This window comes from Homo sapiens, chromosome 15, assembly GCF_000001405.40.
Source record: "Homo sapiens chromosome 15, GRCh38.p14 Primary Assembly".
NCBI classification, from domain to species: Eukaryota; Metazoa; Chordata; class Mammalia; order Primates; family Hominidae; genus Homo; species Homo sapiens.
Genome location: NC_000015.10, coordinates 58,677,991 through 58,700,680, shown reverse-complemented (window position 1 = coordinate 58,700,680; position 22,690 = coordinate 58,677,991). Strand labels below are relative to the sequence as shown.

At 39.0% G+C, this 22,690-nt stretch overlaps 1 protein-coding gene and 2 pseudogenes across 3 annotated transcripts in view, besides 1 other annotated feature; 2 read left to right on the top strand and 1 right to left on the bottom strand.

Moving 5' to 3' along the window:
• The window catches only part of ADAM10 (ADAM metallopeptidase domain 10), a 160,899-nt gene that overhangs the window by 49,027 nt on the left and 89,182 nt on the right, over positions 1-22,690 (top strand). For both annotated transcript variants that reach the window (NM_001320570.2, NM_001110.4), the window contains exons 3-4: positions 18,367-18,485; positions 21,399-21,557. In NM_001320570.2, coding sequence (NP_001307499.1) covers positions 18,367-18,485; positions 21,399-21,557 — 278 coding nt within the window. The remainder of the gene's footprint in view (positions 1-18,366; positions 18,486-21,398; positions 21,558-22,690) is intronic.
• Positions 7,074-10,208, top strand: HSP90AB4P (heat shock protein 90 alpha family class B member 4, pseudogene; annotated as a pseudogene). The gene has a single exon (NR_073415.2). The product of NR_073415.2 is annotated as a heat shock protein 90 alpha family class B member 4, pseudogene (transcript).
• Positions 13,104-14,294, bottom strand: LOC100289060 (G protein subunit gamma 10 pseudogene; annotated as a pseudogene).
• Positions 14,252-14,434: a silencer, noted in NCBI's record as "fragment chr15:58978446-58978628 (GRCh37/hg19 assembly coordinates)". NCBI's record gives its function as "represses an EF-1alpha promoter that drives an FKBP-Casp9 reporter gene in an ReSE screen in K562 erythroleukemia cells {active_cell/tissue: K562}" and the evidence as "EXISTENCE:reporter gene assay evidence [ECO:0000049][PMID:32094911]".

The window sequence follows — 22,690 nt, the reverse complement described above, 5'->3', positions numbered from 1 at the left end:
CTTTACTAGTTCCTTGAGGTGCTTCATTATATTGTTTATTTGAAATCTTTCCATATTTTTTGAGGTAGGCATTTATTGCTGTAAATTTCCCTGTAAGCAGTGCTTTTGTTGTATCCCATGGATTTTGGTATGTCGTGTTTCAAATTTTCATTCGTTTCATTTGTTTTTTGATTTCTTCCTTAATTTCTTTCTTGATCAGTTGTCTTTCAGGAGGATGTTTGTTTAATTTTCATGTATTTGTACAGTTTCCAAAGTTCTTGTTCGTGGTTTCTAGTTTTATTCTTTTGTAGTCTGACTTGATATGATTTCTATTTAAAAAAATTTGTTGAAACGTTTTGTTTCCTAACATATGGTCTATCCTCGAGAGTATTTCATGTGCTGATGAGAAGAATGTTGTGTACTCTAACTGTTGTATGAAATCTGTAAATGTCTTTTAGGCCTATTTGGTCCAATGTGCAGTTTAAATCCAATGATTCTTTGTTAATTTTATGTCTAGATCTGTTTAATGCTGAGAGTGGGGTGTTGAAGTCTACCAACTATTATGGTATTGCAGTTGATATCTCCCTTTAGATCTAATAATATTTGCATTACGTAATGGGTGCTCTGTAGTTGGGTGCATATATATTTAGCTACTCCTGCTTGCTTTTGGTTTCCATTTGCATGGAATATTTTTTTCCATCTCTTTACTTTCAGTCTGTGTGTGTCTTTACAGGTAAGATGAGTTTCCTGTAGGCAACATATAGCTGAGTCATGTTTCTTTTATCCATTTAGCCAATCTTTATCTTTTAAGTGGAAAGTTTCATCCTTTTACAGTTAAGGTTATTACTGGTATGTGAGCGCTTATTCCTGCCATTTTATTAATTTCTTGTTGTTTTGTATATTTTTTGGTTTTCTTTGGCTTTTTTGAGATGGGCTCTCACTGTGTTGCTCAGGCTGGAGTGCAGTGGTGCAATCACACATGGCTTACTGCAGCCTTGACCTCCTGGGCTCAGGTGATCCTCCCACCTCAGCCCTTCATAGTTGGGACTAAAGGTGTACGCCACCATGCTTGGCTAATTTTTAAAATTTTTTGTAGAGATAGGGTTTTGCCACATTGCTCAGGCTGGTCTCAAACTCCTGGTCTCAAACTCCTGGCCTCAAGTGACCTGCCTGTTTCGGCCTCCCAAAGTGCTAGGATTACAGATGTGAGCCACTGTGCCCAGCCTGTATATTCTTTGTTCCTTTCTTTTTCTCTTATTGTTTATCATTGTGGTTTGGTGGTTTTCTTTAGTGGTAACATTTGACTTCTTTTTCTCATTTGTGTATCTGCTCTACCAGTTAGCTTTATATTTCTGTGTGTTTTCATGATGGTGATCATCATCTTTTTGCTTCCAGATGCAGAATTCCTTTGAGCATTTCTTGTACAGTTGGTCTAGTTGTGTCAAATTACCTGTTTTTGCTTGTGTAGTAAGGACTTTATTTCTCCCTCATTTCTGAAAGAAAGTTTTCCTGGGTGTAATCTTGGCTGCCAGGTATTTTTTTCTTTTAGCACTTTGAATATATCATCCCATTTTCTCCTGGCCTGTAAGGATTCTGCTGAGAAATCTGCTGTTAGTCTGATAGGAGTTCCCTTGTAAATGATGAGATGCTTTTCTGTTATTGTTTTTAGAATTCTCTCTTTGTCTTTGACTTTTCACAGTTTGACTATAATGTGCCTTGGCAGAGACCTTTTCGAGTTGTATCTATTTGAAGGTCTCTGAGGTTCCTATATCTGGGTGTCAAAATTGCTTTCTAGATTTGGGAAGTTTTCAGCTCTTATTTTGTTAAATAGGTTTTTTATCCCTTTTGTTTTTTCTTTGCCTTCTGGGGCACTGAAAATTTGAATATTTGGTCACTTTATAGTGTCTACATGTCATGTATGCTGTGTTTATTCTTCTTTATTTTTATGTTATTGGATTATTTCAAAATACCTGTCTTAAAGTTGTGAAATTCTTTCTTTTGCTTGATCTAGTGTATTGATGAAGCTTTTGAAATAATTTTTGTATTTCATTCAATGAATTCTTTACTTCCAGTAGTTGCATTTCGTTCTTTTTTATGATATCTGTCTATCTTTTTTTTTTTTTTTTGAGACAAGGTCTCACTCTGTTGCCCAGGCTAGAGTACATTGATGCGATCTTGGCTCACTGCAACCTCTGCCTTCTGGGCTGAAGCGATCCTCCCACCTCAACCACCTGAGTAGTTGGGACTACAGGTTCACGCCAATATGCTGGGCTAATTTTTTTTTTTTTTTTTTTTAGAGATGGGGTTTTGCCGTGTTGCCCAGGCTGGTCTCAAACTCCTGGGTTGAAACGATCCACCTGCCTCAGCCTCCCACAGTGCTGGGATTACAGATGTGAGCCTAGCCCTATGATATCTGTCTTTGGTAAATTTCTCATTCGTATTCTAAATTTTATGATTTCTTAGTATTGTGTCTGTATATTGTACCTCACTTAGCTTTTTAAATATTATTTTGAATTCTTTTTCTGGGATCTCATAAATTTCTTTTTCATTGGAATCTATTGCTGCAGAATTATTTAGGTCATATTTCCTTGCTTTATCATGTTTCTTGGGTCCTTATTGCGCATATGGTATAACAGTCACTTCTTCCCAGTTTTTTGAATTCGCTTTCTGAGGCGAGGGCTTTTTCCTGAAGATGTGTTTATGATGTTGATTGGGTAGGGCATTTTGGCATGAATCTGGGTGCATGCAGTGGTGTAGTCTCCGTATAAATTATTCGGCTGTTTACAGCGTTAATAGTGTCTGATTTTCTCAGTGATGTAGGGTTTGGTTTGTTAGTGGAGTCTGTGGTGAGGCTTAGCTGGGGACAGGTTCACCAAGTGGGCCTGTCCTTGGGCCTTAGGGCAACATATGCTGGCACTGGTGTTAGCAGGTCCAGGTGGGCTGATTCTTGGGCCTCCAGGTGGCTTACTTGGGTGTTGGTAGGGGCAGTGGTTGGCCAGTTGGGTGGGCAGATTCTCAGGCTCCTGGGCAGCGTATGTGGCATGGTTGATAGTGGGAAAACCCTCTGTTTCCCAGGTGGTCTGTGCTGATAATGGCAGTGGCTGCAATGGGCTGGGCAGGCCAGTCTCCAGGCCTGCAGGTGGTGCATGTGGTTGGGGACCAGCTGTGGTATGTAATGGCAGATTGAGTGGGCTAAATCTCAGGCCCCTAGGAGAAGTGTTCACATGTTAACGGTGGTGGAGGGGGCTGGGTAGACCTGTCCTCAGGCCCACTAGTAATGTGTGTGGGTGTTGGCTGTGGTAGGCAGGGGTGGGGTGATCCCCATGGCCCCAGTGGAGTGCTCGAGTGGGGCCCTGCCACTGGGGAGGGAAGGGTTGCTTTCAGTGGCACCAGACATAAACATTCAGCTGATGAGTGGGTCTTTGGGCCCCAGGTGGCAGCTGTGGGCAGGGTAGTCTGTCCTCAGGACACTTGTAAAGGTGTAGTAGCTCCACTGCTTGGGGCAGCAGGGTCACTGCCAATAGTTTGTGGTTTAGCACCAGTGGCAGCAGCCAGCAGGAGTGGTGGCTTTGGGTGGTGGGAGTCTTACAGTCTAACTTAGGCCTCCTTGGGGCACATGAAAATGCATAGCAGCTCTGCTGCTGGGGGCAGTGGGGTTGCTGCCAGTGGTTTACACTTTGGCTTGGGGGCAGCATGGGATCACAACAGTGGCTGTAGGTGGGGATGTAAGTGGACTCCAGGGATATGGAGATGCCGGGGCTGTTTGGCCCCAGGGCAGGGTACAGCCTTGTTGGGGCTGGGCTCTCAAAACGTGCTGTGCTCTAGCTGCTTAGGACTAAGGAGTGGAGGGGACCGTTCATGAGCAGTATCATCGTGTGGTCCCCAGGCAGCTCCCTTTGTCAGTATGAGATGATTTTCTTATTATGAAATCGATATTGGCCAGGTGCGGTGGCTCACACATGTAATCCCAGCACTTTCCCAGGCTGAAGTGGGTGGATCACCTGAGGTCAGGAGTTCGAGACTAGCCTGGCTAACATGGTGAAACCGCATCTGTACAAAAGTACAAAAATTAGCTGGTCATGATGGCAGATGCCTGTAATCCCAGCTGCTCAGGAGGCTGAGGCGGAAGAATCACTTGAACCTGGGAGGCGGAGGTTGCGGTGAGCCGAGATCGCTGCATTGCACTCTAGTCTGGGCGAGAGAGAGTGAGACTCATCTTGGGAAAAAAAAAAAAAGAAAGAAAGAAAAAAAGAAATCAGTATCAAGGCTGTAAGGGGCCTACTTCAAGTGTTCTTAACTTCTGTTTTCCTTCTAAGTTGTTTATCTAGCTTGTACTTAGACACCTTAATAGATACATAAATATTTCTTTGGGTAGGGTGTATAGCATACAATGTTTTTTTTTGTTGTTGTTTTTGAGACAGGGTCTCACTCTGTCACCCAGACTTGGAGTGCAGTGGCGTGATCTTGGCCCACTGCAACCTCTGCCTCCCGGGCTCAGGATTCTCCCATTTTAGCCTCTCGAAGTGCTGGGAGTAGCGTGTGCCACTACCGCCCGGCTAATTTTTGTATTTTTATTTTAATTTTTGAGGTGGAGTCTCACTCTTGTTGCCCAGGCTGGAGTGCAGTGGTGCAATCTTGGCTCACCTTAACCTCTGCCTCCTGGGTTCAAGCGATTCTCCTGCCGCAGCTTCCCAAGTAGCTGGGATTACAGGCATGTATCATCACAACCGGCTCATTTTGTAATTTCAGTAGAGATGGGGTTTCACCATGTTGGTCAGGCTGGTCTTGAACTCCTGACCTCCGGTGATCCACCCGCCTCGGCCTCCCAAAGTGCTGGGATAACAATTGTGAGCCACCGCACCCTGCTTAATTTTTATATTTGTAATAGAGACAGGGTTTCACCACGTTGGCCAGGCTGATCTTGAACTCCTGACCTCAAATATCTATCCGCCTCAGCCTCCCAAAATGTTGGGATTACCACCAATACCGTGCCAGGCCAGAATGTTCGTTCTTTTTTTTTTAGACAAGTCTTGCTCTGTTGGCCAGGTCTTATATTAAAACTTAAATATCTTTTTGTAGCTTTTGCCCTCAATTTTTTTTTACCATATAGAATACTAGTGCTTTCATTTAACAGGGGTTTCAGGGTGCAATTTTGCTGAATAATAAATTTTAATGACGATGCTGTTTTGAGATAGTGTTTTTATAGTAACTGTAAATGTGTAAATATGATAATGATTTTTCAAAATAGTGTGTACCTTTATAAACATAATTTATGTATTTACAGTCACATATATGGCCTAGAATTTCCTATCAGTTTGCAAAAGTAATTTTATGAAAATACATGATAGGCAGCAAAAGTTGAGGCAGGATACTTGTTTGTTCAGGAGAGTCTATTTTTAAGTTTGTGGAGTTCTCATTTAGAAGATGTGTTGGGCTTTGTTGATTACTTAACAGCAGTAGCTTGGGTCCTTAAGGCTTTAAGTAGAAAGCCTGGAGTTCTTGTACCTGGGAAGCCCTGGGAGTTATTTGGCAAGAGGAATGTGAGTACAGCCTCAAACTAAAAGGGTGCCAAGACTGACGTGAAATGAAGGAAAAGAGAAAATAGACAATGTTTAAAAATGTACACAGTTTTCAAGCTAGTAAATGTATGCTACTGACCCCTACTTACATAAAATATATTCATGTTAGGTATATAGTTAGAGGTGCATTTTGGCAAATGTATATACTTAGGCAACTGCCATTGAAATCAAGATAAAGAATGTTTCTGTCGTATCACAAAATTCCCTCATTACTTTTTACTCTTAGTCTCCACCCTAGGCAACTACTGATTTGCTTCCTGTCACTACTAGATAGATTTTGACTGTTCCAGAATTACATATCAATGGAATTAGACTCTGCATTCTTTTGTGTCTTAACAAAAGTGCGTGTTTTCAATAGTTGGCTTTTTTTTTTTTTTAATTTCTGAGTAGTTTGCCATTATATGAATACATCTTTCTCTTTACTTGTTGATAGACATTTAGGTTATGTTCAGTTTTTGGCTATTATAAATAAAGCTGCTGCTAACATTTGTGTTCAGTTATTTGTGTGGATATATGCTTTATGTTTTCTTTTTTCTTGAGTAGAATTGCTGGGTCATAAGCTTTTTTTGTTTGTTTGTTTGTTTTAGATGGGGTTTCCCTCAGCCTCCCAAAGTACTGGGATTACAGGCACTAGCCAACTCGCCTGGCCTTGTTTGTTTTTGTTTTTGTTTTGAAAGGGAGTGTTGTTCTGTTTCCCAGGCTGGAGTGCAGTGTCGTGATCTCGGCTCACTGCAACCTCCTCCTCCTGGGTTCAAGCAATTCTCTTGCCTCAGCCTCCCAAATCACTGAGATTACAGGCACCTGCCACCACACCTGGCTAATTGTTGTATGTTTAGTACAGACGGGGTTTCAAACATGCTGGCCAGGCTGGTCTTGAACTCCTCACCTTCAGTGATCTGCCTGTCTCGGCCTCCCAGAGTGCTGGGATTATAGGCATGAGCCACTGTGCCTGGCCTGGTTTTTATATGTTTGACTTTGTAAGAAAGTGCTAAACAGTTTTCCAAAGTGATGTTGTCATTTTCCATTCCCATCAGCAGTGTGTGAGTTCCAGGTACTCAACACCCTACTAATATTTGGAGATGTTATTCTAGCAAAGGGTATGTGATAATATATTATTCTAGTTCTGATTTACATTTCTTTGTTGACTAATGATGTTATGTAGGTTTCCATATGCTTGTTTGCCACCTGTGTATCTTCTTTGTGAAGTATTTTTTCACATTGTTGTTTGTCTTTCAATGGTTGTCTTATTATTGATTTGTAAGAGGTTTTTAAAAAGATATTCCGAATATAAGTTCTTTGTCAGACCATATGTATTGCAAATGTTTTCTCCCAGACTGTGGCTTGCCTTTTTTTTTTTTTTTAAAGCTATTTCTCAGCGGAAGTTTTGAATTTTTAAGAAGCCCTTTTAATGAAAAAATTTTTTTCTTTTATGATTTTTGCTTTTGTTTCTTAAGGTAGCATTGACTACCAAGGCCATGACAGTTTTCTTCTAGATGTTTCCAGTTACAGTTTTACATGTAAGTCTGTATTGCAATTCAATTTAATTTTTCTTTATGATAGAGGTAAGGGTCAAGGGTAATATTTTTCACATGGATATAAATTTTTTAGCATCACTTTTTGAAAAACCTATCAATTCTTTGAATTGCCATGATCTATATATGTTGAGACCTATTTATATATTCTTAGGTCTTTCATTTCATTGATCTGTCTATATTTTTATGCCACTGTTTGGTTACTGTAGCTTTATGGTACATGTGCTAAGCAAGGTCCATTTACGAGGCAGAATCCATACAGTAAATTGAAGAATGAAATTTTAGTATAAAGAATTAGCTCTTGAGTCACCCCTGTGCAGCCTTGGTGCCGTGTGCATTTTGGACACTCAGCCCACCTTGCTCTCTAGTACTTGTAAGCCTTTTCCTTTCAAGATGCCTGCAGAGGTGTACCATGGAGAAGGGGAGGTGGCGACTTTTGCCTTTTAGGCAGAAATTGCCCAACTCATGTCTCTCATAATCAATACCTTCTATTCCAACAAGGAGATTTTCCTTCAGGAGTTGATCTCTAATGCTTCTGATGCCTTAGACAAGATTCGCTATGAGAGCCTGACAGACCCTTCCAAGTTGGACGGTGGTAAAGAACTGAAAATTGACATCATCCCCAACCCTCGGGAATGCATCCTGACTTTGGTCAACACAGGCATTGGCATGACCAAGGCTGATCTCATAAATAATTTGGGAGCCATTGCCAAGTCTGGTACTGAAGCATTTATGGAGGCTTTTCAGTCTTGTGCAGAAATCTCCATGATTGGGCAATTTGGTGTTGGCTTTTATTCTGCCTACCTGGTGGCAGAGAAAGTAGCCATCACAAAGCACAATGACGAAGAACAGTATTCCTGGGTATCTTCTGCTGGGAGTTCCTTCACTTTACATGTTGACCATGGTGAGCCCATTGACAGGGATACCAAAGTGATCCTTCACCTTAAAGAAGATCAGACAGAGTACTTAGAAGAGAGGTGGGTCAAAGAAGTAGTGAAGAAGCACCCTCAGTTCATAGGCTGTCTTATCGCCGTTTATTTGGAGAAGGAACCAGAGAAGGAAATCAGTGATGATGAGGAAGAGAAAGGTGAGAAAGAAGAGGAAGATAAAGATGATAAAGAAAAGCCCAAGACTGAAGATGTGGGTTCCGATGAGGAGGATGACACTGATAAGAATAATAAGAAGAAAACAAAGAAGATCAAGGAGAAATACACTGATCGGGAAGAACTAAACCAGACCAAGCCGATTTGGACCAGAAACCCTGATGACATCACCCAGGAAGAGTGTGGAGAATTCTACAAGAGCCTCACCAGTGCCTGGGAAGACCACTTGGCAGTCAAGCAATTCCCTGTAGAAGGTCATTTGGAATTCAGGGCATTGCTGTTCATCCCTCATCAGGCTCCCTTTGACCTTTTTTAGAACAAGAGGAAAATGAACAACTCTGTGTCCATCATGTGTGGATCATGGACAGCTTTGATGATTTGATGCCAGAGTATGTCGGCTTTGTCCGTGGTATGGTTGACTCTTAAGGATCTTTCCCCAAACATCTCCCGGGAAATGCTCCAGCAGAGCAAAATCTTGGAAGTCATTTGCAAAAACATTGTTAAGAAATGCCGGCTGGGCATGGTGGCTCACGCCTGTAATCCTAGCACTTTGGGAGGCTGAGGCGGGCAGATCACCTGAGGTCAGGAGTTCAAGACCAGCCTGGTCAACATGGTGAAAGCCCGTCTCTACTAAAAATACAAAAATTAGCTGGGCACAACGCCTGTAATCCCAGCTACTTGGGAGGCTGAGGCAGGAGAATTGCTTGAACCTGGGAGGCGGAAGTTGCAGTGAGCCAAGATCATGCCACTGCACTAAGCCTGGGCGACAGAAGAAGGCTCTGTCTCAAAAAAAAAAAAAAAAAAAAAAAAAGAAGAAGAAGTGGCTTGAGCTTAGCTTCTCTGGGCTGGCAGAAGACAAGGAGAATAACAAGAAATTAGATGAGGTATTCTCTAAAATCTCGTGGCTTGGAATCCATGAGGACTCTATTAACTGGCGACACCTGTCTGAACTGCTGTGGTCTCACACCTTCCAGTCTGGAGATGAGATGACATCTCTGTCAGAGTATGTGTCTTGCATGAAGGAGGCACAGAAGTCCATCTGTGACATCATTGGTGAGTGCAAAGAGCAGGTAGCCAACTCTGCTTTTGTGGAGCAAGAGTGGAAGAAGGGCTTCGAGGTAATATATATGAGTGAGCCCATTGATGAGTACTGTGTGCAGCAGCTCAAGGAATTTGATGGGAAGAGCCTGCTGTCAGTTACCAAGGAGGGTCTGGAGCTACCTGAGGATGAGGAGGAGAAGAAGATAATGGAGGAGAGCAACGTAAAGTTTGAGAACCTCTGCAGGCTCATGAAAGAAATCTTAGATAAGAAGGTTGAGCGGGTGACAATCTCCAGTAGGCTTGTGTCTTCACCCTGCCGCATTGTGACCAGCACCTACAGCTAGATAGCCAATATGAAGTGGATCATGAAAGCGCAGGCATTTTGGGACAACTCTATGATGGGTTATATGATGGCTAAAAAGCACCTGGAGATCAACCCCAACCACCCCATTGTGGAGACACTACAGCAGAAGGCTGAGGCAGACAAGAACAACGAGGCTGTCAGTGACCCGGTGGTGCTGCTGTTTGAAACCACACTGCTCTCTTCTGGCTTCTCCCTTGAGGATCCTCAGACCTATCCAGCTGCATCTACCACATGATCAAGCTAGGTTAGCTATTGATGAAGATGAAGTGGCAACAGAGGAACTCAGTGCTGCTGTTCCTGATGTGATGTGTTCCTGAGGATGTGTTTCACATGGAAGAAGTAGATTAAGAGTTTATACCTGCAAACCTTGTGCCCTTGCATAGTGTCCCCATGGCTCCCACTGCAGCTTTGAGTGGTCCTGTCCCACCTGGCTCTCTCTGCTGATATCTAGTATTTTTTCTCTTCTGTCCTTGTGTCTAAGGCAGGAAACAAGGGCATCAAGCCCCATTCCCTCTCTACTTTGACAGCAGAATTGGATGTTGTATATCCTGTTTTTTTGTTGTTGTTTATTTTGTTCTGAAAGTATGTAAAATAAAGAATATGCTGTTTTTATACAGTAAAACAACACAAAAGATTACCATTTCTGGGGATTAGCAACTAAAAGAGGATTATTTTTCTTGGCTTGTTGTGGTATCTGTAACATCATACTTAATGTTACAGAGTTGCATAAAAGTGGCAAGTGTGAATATCTTTACCTTCTTCCCAATCTTAGGAGAGAAGCATTCAGTCTTTCATCTTTAAGTATGATGTTAACTGGAGTTTGTAGTTGCATTTTATCGGGTTAAGGAAGTTCCTGTCTCTTCCTAGTTTGCTGAGAATTTTATCATGAGTAGGTGCTGAAATTTGTTAGATGCTTTTTCTGTACCTAATGAGATGATTTTGTGGCTTTTCTCCCCTTTGAATGCGGTGAATTACATTGATGATTTTAGAATGTTAAGCCAGCCTCTTATTACTTCATTTGCTTATGATGTATTGTCCTTTTTATTTATTGCTTTGTTCAGTTTTCTAGTTTTTGGTTGGATTTTTTTGTTTATGTTCATAAGGAATATCAGTCTTTTTTTTTTTTTTTTGGGGGGGGTCTGTCTTTGGTTTTGGAATCAGAGTGAGCCACATAAAATGAGTTGAGTACTCTTCCCTCCTGTTTTCTTAAAATAGTTTTATAGGACATCAGGGGAACCATCTGGCCCTGGTATTTTTCTTGTGGAAAGGCCTTAAATCATGAATTCATTTTCTTCAGTAGATAGGGGCTTATTCAGATTTTCTATATTTTGTGATAGTTTTCATAATTTGTACCTTTTAAGGAGTTTATTTTATCTAAGTAATTGAATTTATTTTCATTATGCTCATAATATTACTTTATCACTCAATGTCTGCAGTACTGGAATGATGTTTTCTTTTTTATTCTTCATTGACAATGTATTTTTTAATGATCTTTTTTATTGGCTGTAGAATTTGGATTGACATTGTTTTTCTTTCAGCATTAAAAAAGTTACTCCAATAATTTCTAGCTTGCATTATTATTATTATTATTTTTGTGGAGACAGAGTCTTGCTCTGTGGCCCACGTTGGAGTGCAGTGGCATGATCTCAGCTCACTGCAACCTCTGCCTCCTGGGTTCAAGCAATTCTCCTGCCTCATCCTACTGAGTAGCTGGGACTACAGATGCACACCACCATGCCCGGCTAATTTTTTGTATTTTAGTAGAGACAGGCTTTCACCATGTTGCCCAGGCTGGTCTCGAACTCCTAAGCTAAGGCAATCTGCCCACCTTGGCCTCCCAAAGTGCTAGGATTACAGGCGTGAGCCACCACGCCCGGCCTGCTTGCATTATTTCTAATGTTAAATCAGCAGTCACTCTGCATATAATCAGTCTCTTTGATGGATTTTAAGATTTTCTCTTTAACGCTGATTTTCAGCAGTGACTGTGGTGTGTTTTGTGGGTTTTTCTTTGTGTGTATCTTTCTTGGTGTTTGTTGAGTTACTTAGACTTGTGTTTATAGTTTTATCAGTTTGGAAGTTTTTTATCATTTTATCAAATTTTTTTTTCTGTCTCCTCTCGCTTCTTTATTTATTTACTGTTTGATAGGTTACTGAGGCTCTGGGTTTTTTTTTTTTAAACTCTTTATCTCTCTGTACATCAAGTTAGATAGTTTTTGTTACCCTGTCTTCAAGTTCGCTGATATTCTTTCTTGCAGTATCTCATCTGCTCTTAAGTCAGTCCAGTGAGAGAGAGAGATATATATATATATATATATAATTTTTTTTTTCATTTTAGAAATTATATTTTCCAATTCTGGAAGTTTCCTCCCCTCTCATTCCTTTCCCTCTCTCCTCTCTTCCCTGTCCCTCCCCTTCCCTCCCCTCTTTCGACAGTTTTTGGTTTCTCCTTATTGTGCTTATATTTTCCCCATAATTCTTTAACATATTTACAATATATAGACACTAAATCACTAAATCCTTGTCTGCTAATTCCGTTATCATTCATTCTCACTTTTTTTGGGGGGGACTAATTTTCTTCTTCTTTGTCACATTTCTTTATAGTTAGTGGTTTGGTTTTTTTACCCCTTGTTTTTTTTAATAGTTTGTGGTTTTTAATTGGATATTTCACATTTTGATTAATATTTAGTGTCTTTTTGTCGTTGTTTGTTTTTTTTAAAATTAGAGATGGAGTCTTGCTACATTGCCCAGGCTGATTGAAAACTCCTGGGCTCAAGCAATCTTCCCACCTTGCCCTCCCAAAATACTGGGACTACAGGTGTGAGCCACTGTGCCCACCTGTGTCTGGATTTTTAAAAAACTTTTAATTTAAAAATAATTGTAGAGTCACAGGAGCTTCTACTGGGAAGTCCTGGACATCTTTCCCCCAGTCTCCCTCAGTGTTCACAATTTATATAACTATATTACAACATCAAAACCAAGATTGATATTGGTACAATGCATAGAGTTTATTTGGGTTTCATCAGTTTTACATGTACGTGCATGTGTGTGTGCCTGTGCATAATTCTGTGCAATTTTGTCACATGGGTAGTCTTGTGTAATTATCCCTACAATCAAAGATACTCAATGGTAGCATCACCAGACTCCCTTGTGCTATCCCTTTATGGCCACATTCATCCCCTCCCCCATCTATAATCCTAAACAACCATTAATTGGTTCTCCATCTCCATAATTAGATTATTTCATGATTGTCGCATGAATCGTATTATGCAAGTAGTATCTTTGAGATTGACTTTTCCACTCAGCATAATTTTTTTGAAGTTTGTACAAATTGTTGTGTTTATCAATAGTTTGTTCCTTTTTATTACTAAATTCTATCCTATTGTATGGATATACCACAGTTTAACTGTTCGTATTTTTTTTTTAAAAAGTATGGAGTTTTGTTTGTTAGATAGTTGAGTAACTTGTGGATCAGCTTGACCCTTTTGAGCCTTTTTTTTTTTTATGATTAATTAAGCAGAAATTTTATTTCCAAGCTCTTCAAAGACTGTTACAAACACAAATAATGTATCCTTCTAAAAAAGTGTCCCAAATTAAATCAGATTCACATCATCAAAGTAAAACCCTTGTGAAGTTAAGAATTCTTTTAGGTTGTAATGTTTTTATGTTAGTTTTTAATCATTTACAATGTTCTGTGGGTCACATTTTAAACATTTTTAAATATATGAAATTCTGTATTTCTTTAAGTACAGCCACAGCTACAAAGTAGAGGAACGTAAGAATACAAAGACCAAATCTGCTTCATTTATATACACGATGGGGCAGCCTAATGCACATCATAACATTAACTTTTCCAAACAAGTTTGCTAAGAATCTGCTCCCATAATTAGTGTTAAAAATAAAACAATCTTCCCATTTAGAAAAATCAAGACATCAGTTGATTAGTAAAGCCTATTCTTCCTCCCAGCAATTTGTACTTTCTGGTCTTCATTTAGGAATTGTAAATTCATGAGAAAAGAACAAATTTTTTATGGTATAAATATCTTCCAGGAACAACAGTTTACAAGTATTCGATTGTTTAAATAAACAAAACTATTTTCCTTCCTAAAATGTAAACATCCAGTAAATGAAACATACATGATATTCCAGGTATAGAAATCTTAGTAACTCACTTATGAAAGAGGTGCATTTTGGTATGTTTGGTGGTAAGGTTTTTGTTTATCTTATGTATAAAAGTACTTGCACAAAAAAACAAGCTATTACTATTTAAAACTCTATTCCTTCACCCAGTTTCCTCACTCAAGTAGAAACTCATGAATTTCTGTGATTTTGGCTATAGGACGGGGCCACAGGAAAGGGCTGAAATATCTCTAAAAGTTAGGGAAAAGTGTTTTCTTGAGACTTGAAGGCAGTCATTCATCACTTTGTGCTTGAAGGCATTCCTCAGCAAACTTCTCTCTTAGAGTCTTCAGAGTAAAGCACAGGATCTGGGTTCCCAGAAGGGGTTACTTCCAGCTAGAACACCCACCAGCAGGGCATCCTTGCAGGCATTCTGCATACAGTACTGTTGAAGCTCTGCGGCTGCCTGAGAGACATTGATCCTCTCCACGCCAGCCTCCAACTTGAGCTGCTCCACCAGGCACTGCAGGGCGCTCGCGCTAGCCCCAGAGGACATGGTGGCGGCGCTGGGCTCCGAGGGCCCAGCCTTGTTTTTAAGCTTTATTAGGATAGGTTTGAAGTAGCCTTTATTCTAGGAATAGTTTGTTCCTATTTCCAAGGAGTGGCTTTTCTGGGTTCTCTATTAAATGACAACAAAGTCTGTCTTCTGTGCTTGATCACAACTTCGATGTATCCCTGTCTCTTGTAAGATCCAGTAATTGGTCAACTAACAGCTCCTTAATAGTTGTTTTTGGGCCCACCTTTGTGGAGTCTCTCTTTATGCATCCACGATAGTATTGAGCCACAGACTACAGGTGAACGCCTGTGCAGATTTCTGGAGTTCTTTCTCATTGTTGCACCTTCCTTTTTTCTTAAATCATAGTCCTTCACTGCTTGTTGTCTATTGTCTGAAAGCAGTTGTTTCATTTATGTAACTGAAAAACTGTATTTTTGAGGTGGGTAGGCAAGTCCAGTAATGGTTTCTCCACCATTGTGGCAACAAAACTTTTTGTTTATTTCTAAGTTAGTAATTTGAAAGTCAAAATTGATTCATCTGTCCAAAGAGCAGTAGTTTTTGTTTTGTGTCTTAAGATGTTATTTTAACTTACATTTTATTTTTTGAATAAGAAATATGCTCGTATGTTTTAAAATTTAAATGCCACAAAAGATATACAATGAGGTATCCTTCCCTCCCTTATTTCCCAGTCACCCACTTTCCATTCTTGGGGACAACCATTGTTACTAGTTTATTGTGTATCTGTCAAGAAATTTGATGCACATTCTTATAATGTGTATCTTACTCAGAAATTCTCTACACAGAAATGTGGAGATATGTATATATACATATATATATATATATATATATATATATATATATATATTCTCCTTCATATTCTTGTTTTTAAAAAAAGGTAACGTACTATATTCTTTTTTGTATCTTATTTATTTATTTATTTATTTATTGGAGATGGAGTGTTGTTCTGTCACCTAGGCTGCAGTGCAGTGGCGTGATCTCGGCTCACTGCAAGCTCTGCCTCCCCCGGGTTCACGCCATTCTCCTGCCTTAGCCTCCCAAGTAGCTGGGACTACAGGCACCCGTCACCACGCCCGGCTAATTTTTTGTATTTTTAGTAGAGATGGGGTTTCACTGTGTTAGCCAGGATGGTCTCGATCTCCTGACCTCATGATCTGCCTGCGTCGGCCTCCCCAAATGCTGGGATTACAGGCGTGAGCCACTGCACTTGGTCTTTTTTTTTTTTTTTTTTTACTTAATATAACTTAGAGGTCTATGATTTGATTACATGTAAATATTTTATATATTTTTTTCAGCTTTGTAGTATACAGTTATATGGGTATACCCATAAATACGATTATGTACCATAAGCAAATTAACTAGTTCTGTTGTTACTAATCATGTACTATTTCAAATAGTGCTAAGGTGAATAATCTTTCTGGGCTATTTTCCAACACCAGCAACCAATTCTCTTGATTCTCCAGACACCAAGTGGGTGTTCAACAATTCAGCGTAATTCAGTTCTCACAGTAAATATCTGGAGCTAGTGCAGACCCCACAGCTTAAGGGCCCATTCCTACAACACTGCTTTCCACTTCAGACACCATTTGTAAGTCCTGCGCCACCTGTACTTCGGACCACCTGCTATAAATTGGGGGTTCCCTCAACCTCCTCCTAAGGTTAGATAATTTGTTAACCTGGCTGACAGAACTCAGGAAAACAGTTTACTTACTCTTGCTGGTTTATTATAAAGGATACAACTCATGATCACCTAAGTGGAAGAGATGCGTAGGAATGTGGGAGGCAGCACAGAGTTTCTGTGCGCTCTCTGGGTTCACTACCCTCCAATCAACTCAGTGTGTTCAACCCTGGAAGCTGATCAGATCTCATTGTTCAAGAGTTTCTATAGAGCTTAATCTCCTGTCTCTCCCACCTCACTTTCTGGGGTGGAGTCAGTGGCTAGGGCTGAAATTCCATTGCTCTTATTATTTGATCTTTCTGGTGACCAGCTCTATTCCAAGGTCATCTAGGGGCCCCACTCTAAGTCACCTCATTAGCATAAACTCAGATGTGAGTGAAACAGACTCATTATGAATGAGTGAAGAGACACCTATCACTGAGGATATTCCAAGGGTTTTAGGAGCACTGTGCCAGGAACTGGGGACAAAGGTCAAATAGATTTGGCCCTCTATATCTGTGGATTCAGTCAGCCTTGGATTGAAAATAATTCGCATGGTTGCATCTGTACTGAACATGTACACTTTCTTCCTTGTCATTATTCCCTAAACAATACAGTATAAGAACTATTTACATAGAATTTATACTGTGTGAGGTATTATAAGTAATTTTGAGATGATTTAAAGTGTACAGGAGGATGTATATATACAAATACTCTACAAATACATTTGTTATATACAAATACTGTACCATTTTGTATAAGGGACTTGAGCATTTTTAGATTTTGGTATCCTTGGGGGTCCTGTAACCAATCCCCCGTGGATACTGAGGGATGACTTTATATTTCCTTCTCTTTTTTTTTTTTTTTTTTTTTTTTGAGATGGAGCCTCACTTTGTCACCCAGGCTGGAGTGCAGTGGCATGATCTTGGCTCACTGTAGCCTCCACCTCCCAGATTCAAGCAGTTCTCTTACCTCAGCCTCCCCAGTAGCTGGGACTAGAGGTGCAAGCCACCATGCCTGGCTAGTTTTTGTATTTTTAGTAGAGACGGTTTTGCTGTGTTGGCCAGGCTGGTCTTGAACTCCTGACCTCAGATGATCCACCTGCCTCAGCCTCCCAAAGTTCTGGGATTACAGGCATGAGCCACTGCACCTGGCTTAACTTTATATTTCTTATTATGCCACATTCTTTGTAGTATGGAAGTAATTTCACTTACATGCAAGTATATGTAAGATACATTTCTAGAAATGGAATTCTTGTATCAAAGGCTATGTACATTTGTAATTTGGATTTTTTAAACCAGTTTTCCCACCATAGAGATTGTACCAACTTATTCATGTCACAAATGTGTGAAGTGACTGTATGTTTCCCCATACAACTTTATGTTACAAATTTTTATTAAGTAATTTAAAAAACAAGGTTCTTATAGTACTCTGCAAAACATGTATATGTAAAAAAAAAGACGTAATACTTTGTTGTAATTGTCAAAAAAATTAAGTAGAAATTCTATTATGTTCACAATTATAAAAGACTTGATATACTTTTAACAGAGTTGAGTAATGTTAGCTAATTTGTTGCCATTTTATCATATATCTCCAATGTGCCAGGTACTGTTATGACTTTATATACGTTATAAAATCTCTAATATTTAAAGTAATTTTACAAGGTGTATAGAATTTATATTACCTTTATTTCACAGACAGGAACCTGAGCTAGTAAATTCTAGGCTTAAGATTTGATTCCAATTCGATTCTAAACTCTAGATTTTTGTCATATCTTTAATTAATTTTACTTTAGTATTTTGATCTTTCCCTTTTTTGTGTAGAGGACTAAAATTCCTCTGATTTCAGCCATTATCCTGGTCTTTCGGCATTCCCAAATTGAATTAAGGAAGATTTCTATAATTTGCAAGAATTAGAAGCCCCAGGGTAAAACAAAGAGCATACACACTTGTCTTTCTGAGAAGAGATGTTAAATACCCCATATAGATGCTGCTTTCTTCTGTATTTTCTTATTTAACTTGTAGAAAGTAAGGGAGAATAGCAAAATAGCAGAATTACTAGAGAGAGAAGACAGGCAGTGGTAGATAATAGTAATTGGGTCAGGAAGCCTGTTTTAATCTCCAAGTAACTTATTTGCTGTTTGAATATCTTGTTTTACCATGTAAGAATCAGTCTATAGGCATTTATTTTTAACATCCTAGACAGTTACTGTTTAATTTTATCTCATTTAGAGTCCTACCACAGCTACTAAGTTGACTTTTAGAGCAGAATATGTCTTTAAAAATCTTGGTCAGCGTATTTCACAAATAGACAAATTTCATAACAGTCCACATTTTGTAGACTTTTTAAAATAAAAAATAATTGTTTAAAATTTGGATCTTTTTAATTTCAGTTGTTCCCCCTTCCCATCCCATTTTACAGACATTTCAACCTACGAATGAAGAGGGACACTTCCCTTTTCAGTGATGAATTTAAAGTAGAAACATCAAATAAAGTACTTGATTATGATACCTCTCATATTTACACTGGACATATTTATGGTAAGTTGGACCTTAACAGAACCCTTTTCTTCCATTTTTTTTTTTCTACACAAAGATACTCATTTTGAAGTGTAAGCAAATATTTCAGAAAAGGTTATAAATCCAGAGGAGGTTGAATTCATATGAAGGGTAATGGTCTTTGAGAAATGAAGTAATGTTTGGACCTATCTTTACATGTATGTTTAATAGTGAATTATGAAATATCTGGCTTCTGAAAGGGGTGAAATTTTGACTCAGTACCTCTAAACTGTTAGAGTTTTCAAAAGTTTTAACGACTTCTGTAATTTTCTGATTTTCCAAGTAAGAAATTAATAGTAACTTTGCTGTGTTTTATAAGAAAACAGGAAAAGTCTAAAAGGAAACAGTAAAGATGATCTTAGCCAAAAATAATGTGACAGAGTCATCTGTAGGAAAATCCTCCCAAGGCCCTTCTTCCTCAGAATCTATTTGCTTTATTCACAATTCTAACAAATTTCTCTTGCTGCATCAAATTGAAAATGCATGTTGGGGGGCATCAGTGGCACACTTAACCCAATAGAAAGTTACATCTACTAGTAGTGTTGAAAGAACAGAACAACTATAGAAGTCATAAAAAAGCTTAAAAAATGAAAATCTTCTGGGGGTGTTGGAGAGAGGCAAAATGTCATTGTTTTATAACTGTACATTAGTAAGTACTCAAGATGATTCTCACTTAAGACAGTGTTAAACTGTTTGAGATTATTTCTACACGAGTGATTTCTACTGAAAATAGTAACATGAAAAATTAAATGCTTAAAGAATTTTTTCTCATTTTTCGATTGTGCCAGATAAATGAGGCATTTCTATACTTAAACTTTCTCATTTGTAGAATAAACCTAATCATTAAATTCTTTAGCTTTTTTGTACTCTTACAATTCTGTAACCAAAATGAAGCGTTTTTCATCAGTAGATTTTCAATGTCAGACTTTAGTGTTATATTGTCTTCTTGATTATTTATCTTTCTGGGCAAATAACTTAGTAGTTCCTGCCCTTTTTCGCTAGGTGATGAGATCAAGAAAAGTCCGAGGCCGTAAATGAGATTGCAGATAAAAATCATGTTATTTAGGCCAGGCATGGTAGCAGTTACACCTGTAATCCCAGTGCTTTGGGAGGCTGAGGCAGGAGGATTGCTTGAGACCTGGAGTTTGAGACCAGCCTGGGCAGTATAGTGAGACCTTGTCTCTAAAAAACATAAAAATTTAGTTGTGGTGGCACACCTGTAGTTTCAGTTAGATGGGAGGCTGACGTGGGAGGATTGCTGAGCCCAGGAGGTTGAGGCTACAGTGAGTTATGATTGTGCCACTGCACTATAGCCTGGGGGACAGAGAGGGGCCCTGTCTATTTAAGAAAACAAAACAAAACAAAAAACTCCAAATATCAGCGTCTTGGGCTCTTACCTCCAGTCTATGATTAATTCAGAGGCAACTAATTAATGTTATTCTACAACTTAGAAATTGTGGAAGTCCTGATTTTTATTTTAATCAGAGAATCGTAATGGGTAAATTCAAGGTTTAAAGCCCTCTCCCTCTACTTTCACCCTTTATGTCATTTGATTTTGGTGCTCACCTTTTCGTTGTGATTATATTAAGAACCAAAAGTACCTTTTTTCCTATTATTTCCTTTCACTGGAGAAGTGTAATTGATGGGATAGTATTACAAATCTTTGTCCAATATCTTTAAAAGTACTGTTGGTATACTTTTGTTCAAAGTGCCCATGAAATATTTGACACTGTTCTATTTAAAAATGTGTTTATAGGCTGGGCGTGGTGACTCACGCCTGTAATCCCAGCACTTTAGGAGGCCGAGGCAGGTGGATTGTTTGAGCCCAGGAGTTCCAGACCAGCCTAGGAAACATAGCAAGTCCCTGTCTCTACCAAAAATACAAAAATTAGCTGGAGGTGGCGGTGCACGCTTGTAGTCCCAGCTACTAGGGAGGCGGAGGTGGGAGGAGTGCCTGAGCCCAGGAGGTTGAGGCTGCACAGAGCCATGAGCTCGTCACTGCACTCCAGCCCGGGTGACAGAGCAAGACCTTGTCTCAAAAGCAAAACAAAACAAAACACAAAACAAACCCCTAAGCATAGCGCAGAAGCCAAAAGGCCTGGCCCATGCACAATATATCGGATGGAAAAGGAGCTTTTTTCTTGTGGTACCTGTAGCAAAATTTTCAAAAGATGCTTTGGATGTCTTTATTCTGAAAGTGTGTATTTTATCAGTGGGTTTGCTTGCTTCTTTTAAGTTAATTTAACAATTAATTGTTTTGTTTTGTTTTGAGACAAGGTCTTGCTCTTGTCACCCAGGCTGGAGTTCAGTGGTGCCATGTCAGCTCACAGCAACCTCCGCCTCCAGGGTTCAAGTGATTCTTCTGCCTCAGCCTCCTGAGTAGCTGGACTTACAGACATGTGCCACCAGGCCCAGCTAATGTTTTCTGTGTTTTTAGTAGAGACAGGGTTTCGCTATGTTAGCTAGGCTGGTCTCGAACTCCTGGCCTCGAGTGATCTGCCCACCTCGGCCCCCCAAAGTGCTGGGATTATAGGTGTGAACCACACTGTGCTGGGCCAATTTACAATTATTGATGACTACTGCATACATGCTAGGCACTCAGCTAGGTGCAAGGAATGTGGTTGGTAACAAGGCAGATACTCTATTTTTCATTGCTGTTATTAGTAATTGTATATATTTTAACTAAATACTAGTTGCTGTTCACATCTCACATTCTGCTTGATATATTTTATGTGAAAATTTCCATAGTAAATTTATATTCAAGATTTAACCATATATATGTGTATATATGTATGCATGTGTGTATATATATACACACATATATACATATATATGAATGAATTTAACATTCATGTGCAAATTAAATTGTCAAGAATTTGTTGCTTTCATTAATAGGTGAAGAAGGAAGTTTTAGCCATGGGTCTGTTATTGATGGAAGATTTGAAGGATTCATCCAGACTCGTGGTGGCACATTTTATGTTGAGCCAGCAGAGAGATATATTAAAGACCGAACTCTGCCATTTCACTCTGTCATTTATCATGAAGATGATATTAGTAAGTACTTAAGTTTTATCAAGTAGCCTTTTTCAAAAGGCATATGATAGTTAAAACTGTGTGGAGACAAATGAAGCATTAGCTGTTTTCTTTCCTGAGTTACTAATCAGGCTAGAACATAGTTTTTACTAGCAATTGCTATTTAAGGAATAGTAGATATATGTAATGAGGCAATTTCCTTGTCAGTCCATTGCCAGTACTACTTTGCTGATATGACATAACTAATTCTGTTTGAACTGTGTGAGTCAACCAAATCTGACGGAACTGGAAATCGTATATTTTGACATCAGCCAGTCTGTGTAATGCTAATACCTTTGTGTGTATGACCTATTGAAGGTAGAAGAGCATCATTACTACTTACATAAATTTCAGTGTGGATATTTGTGTAGTGTTTAAGGAATATTTTAGGTATTTTTGTAATTTTTAAGTCCATTGAGTATTTCTTTTTAGAATCTTAAGGTAATGACTTGACTTCAAGAGTCCACGTTTATCATGGATTTTGTTCTCTACCATCTTTATATGATGATATTTTTCTAAGAATAGAAAATGTATTTAGACTTTACCTTTTAATTCTATTGTCCGTATATCCACAGTTATCCAGTTATTGGGAATGCTTCTTTGAAGTACCACAGAAATAAATTTCTCTAATTTATATAGCTCTTGAATACCCATTTATTATTTTTTGACTGTAATTAGACTAGTCTCTCAATTTTTGCCTGCTTTCCTAACTTGGCAGCTTCTTCCTACATACGTTTTCCTTTGTATAGACAGAAATTTATTGTCAATGATTTTATTCTTACCCCTAGTAATACACTGACAAGCATTAACCATTTTGACTTTTTGCTCCATCAGCTCTGACAGTTTTTGTACTTCATCTGTCCAACTGCTTGTTATCTCTGCTGCTAGATTGCTATAGAAAATAACATATGTATACTAGGTAGGATGCATTTATGATTTTTAGCTACTTGTTAAATCATAAGCTCATTAATGCTACTTCCCTGTATTTTCATTCACCACTATTTGATTCCTTTTCCAGTTTTAACTCCTGGTATTTCAAACTCTACCTTTCTTTTCAAGCTCTAAGCTATCATCCTCCTTCATAAGTAGGAATATGAATTCCTTTGCTTTCGTTT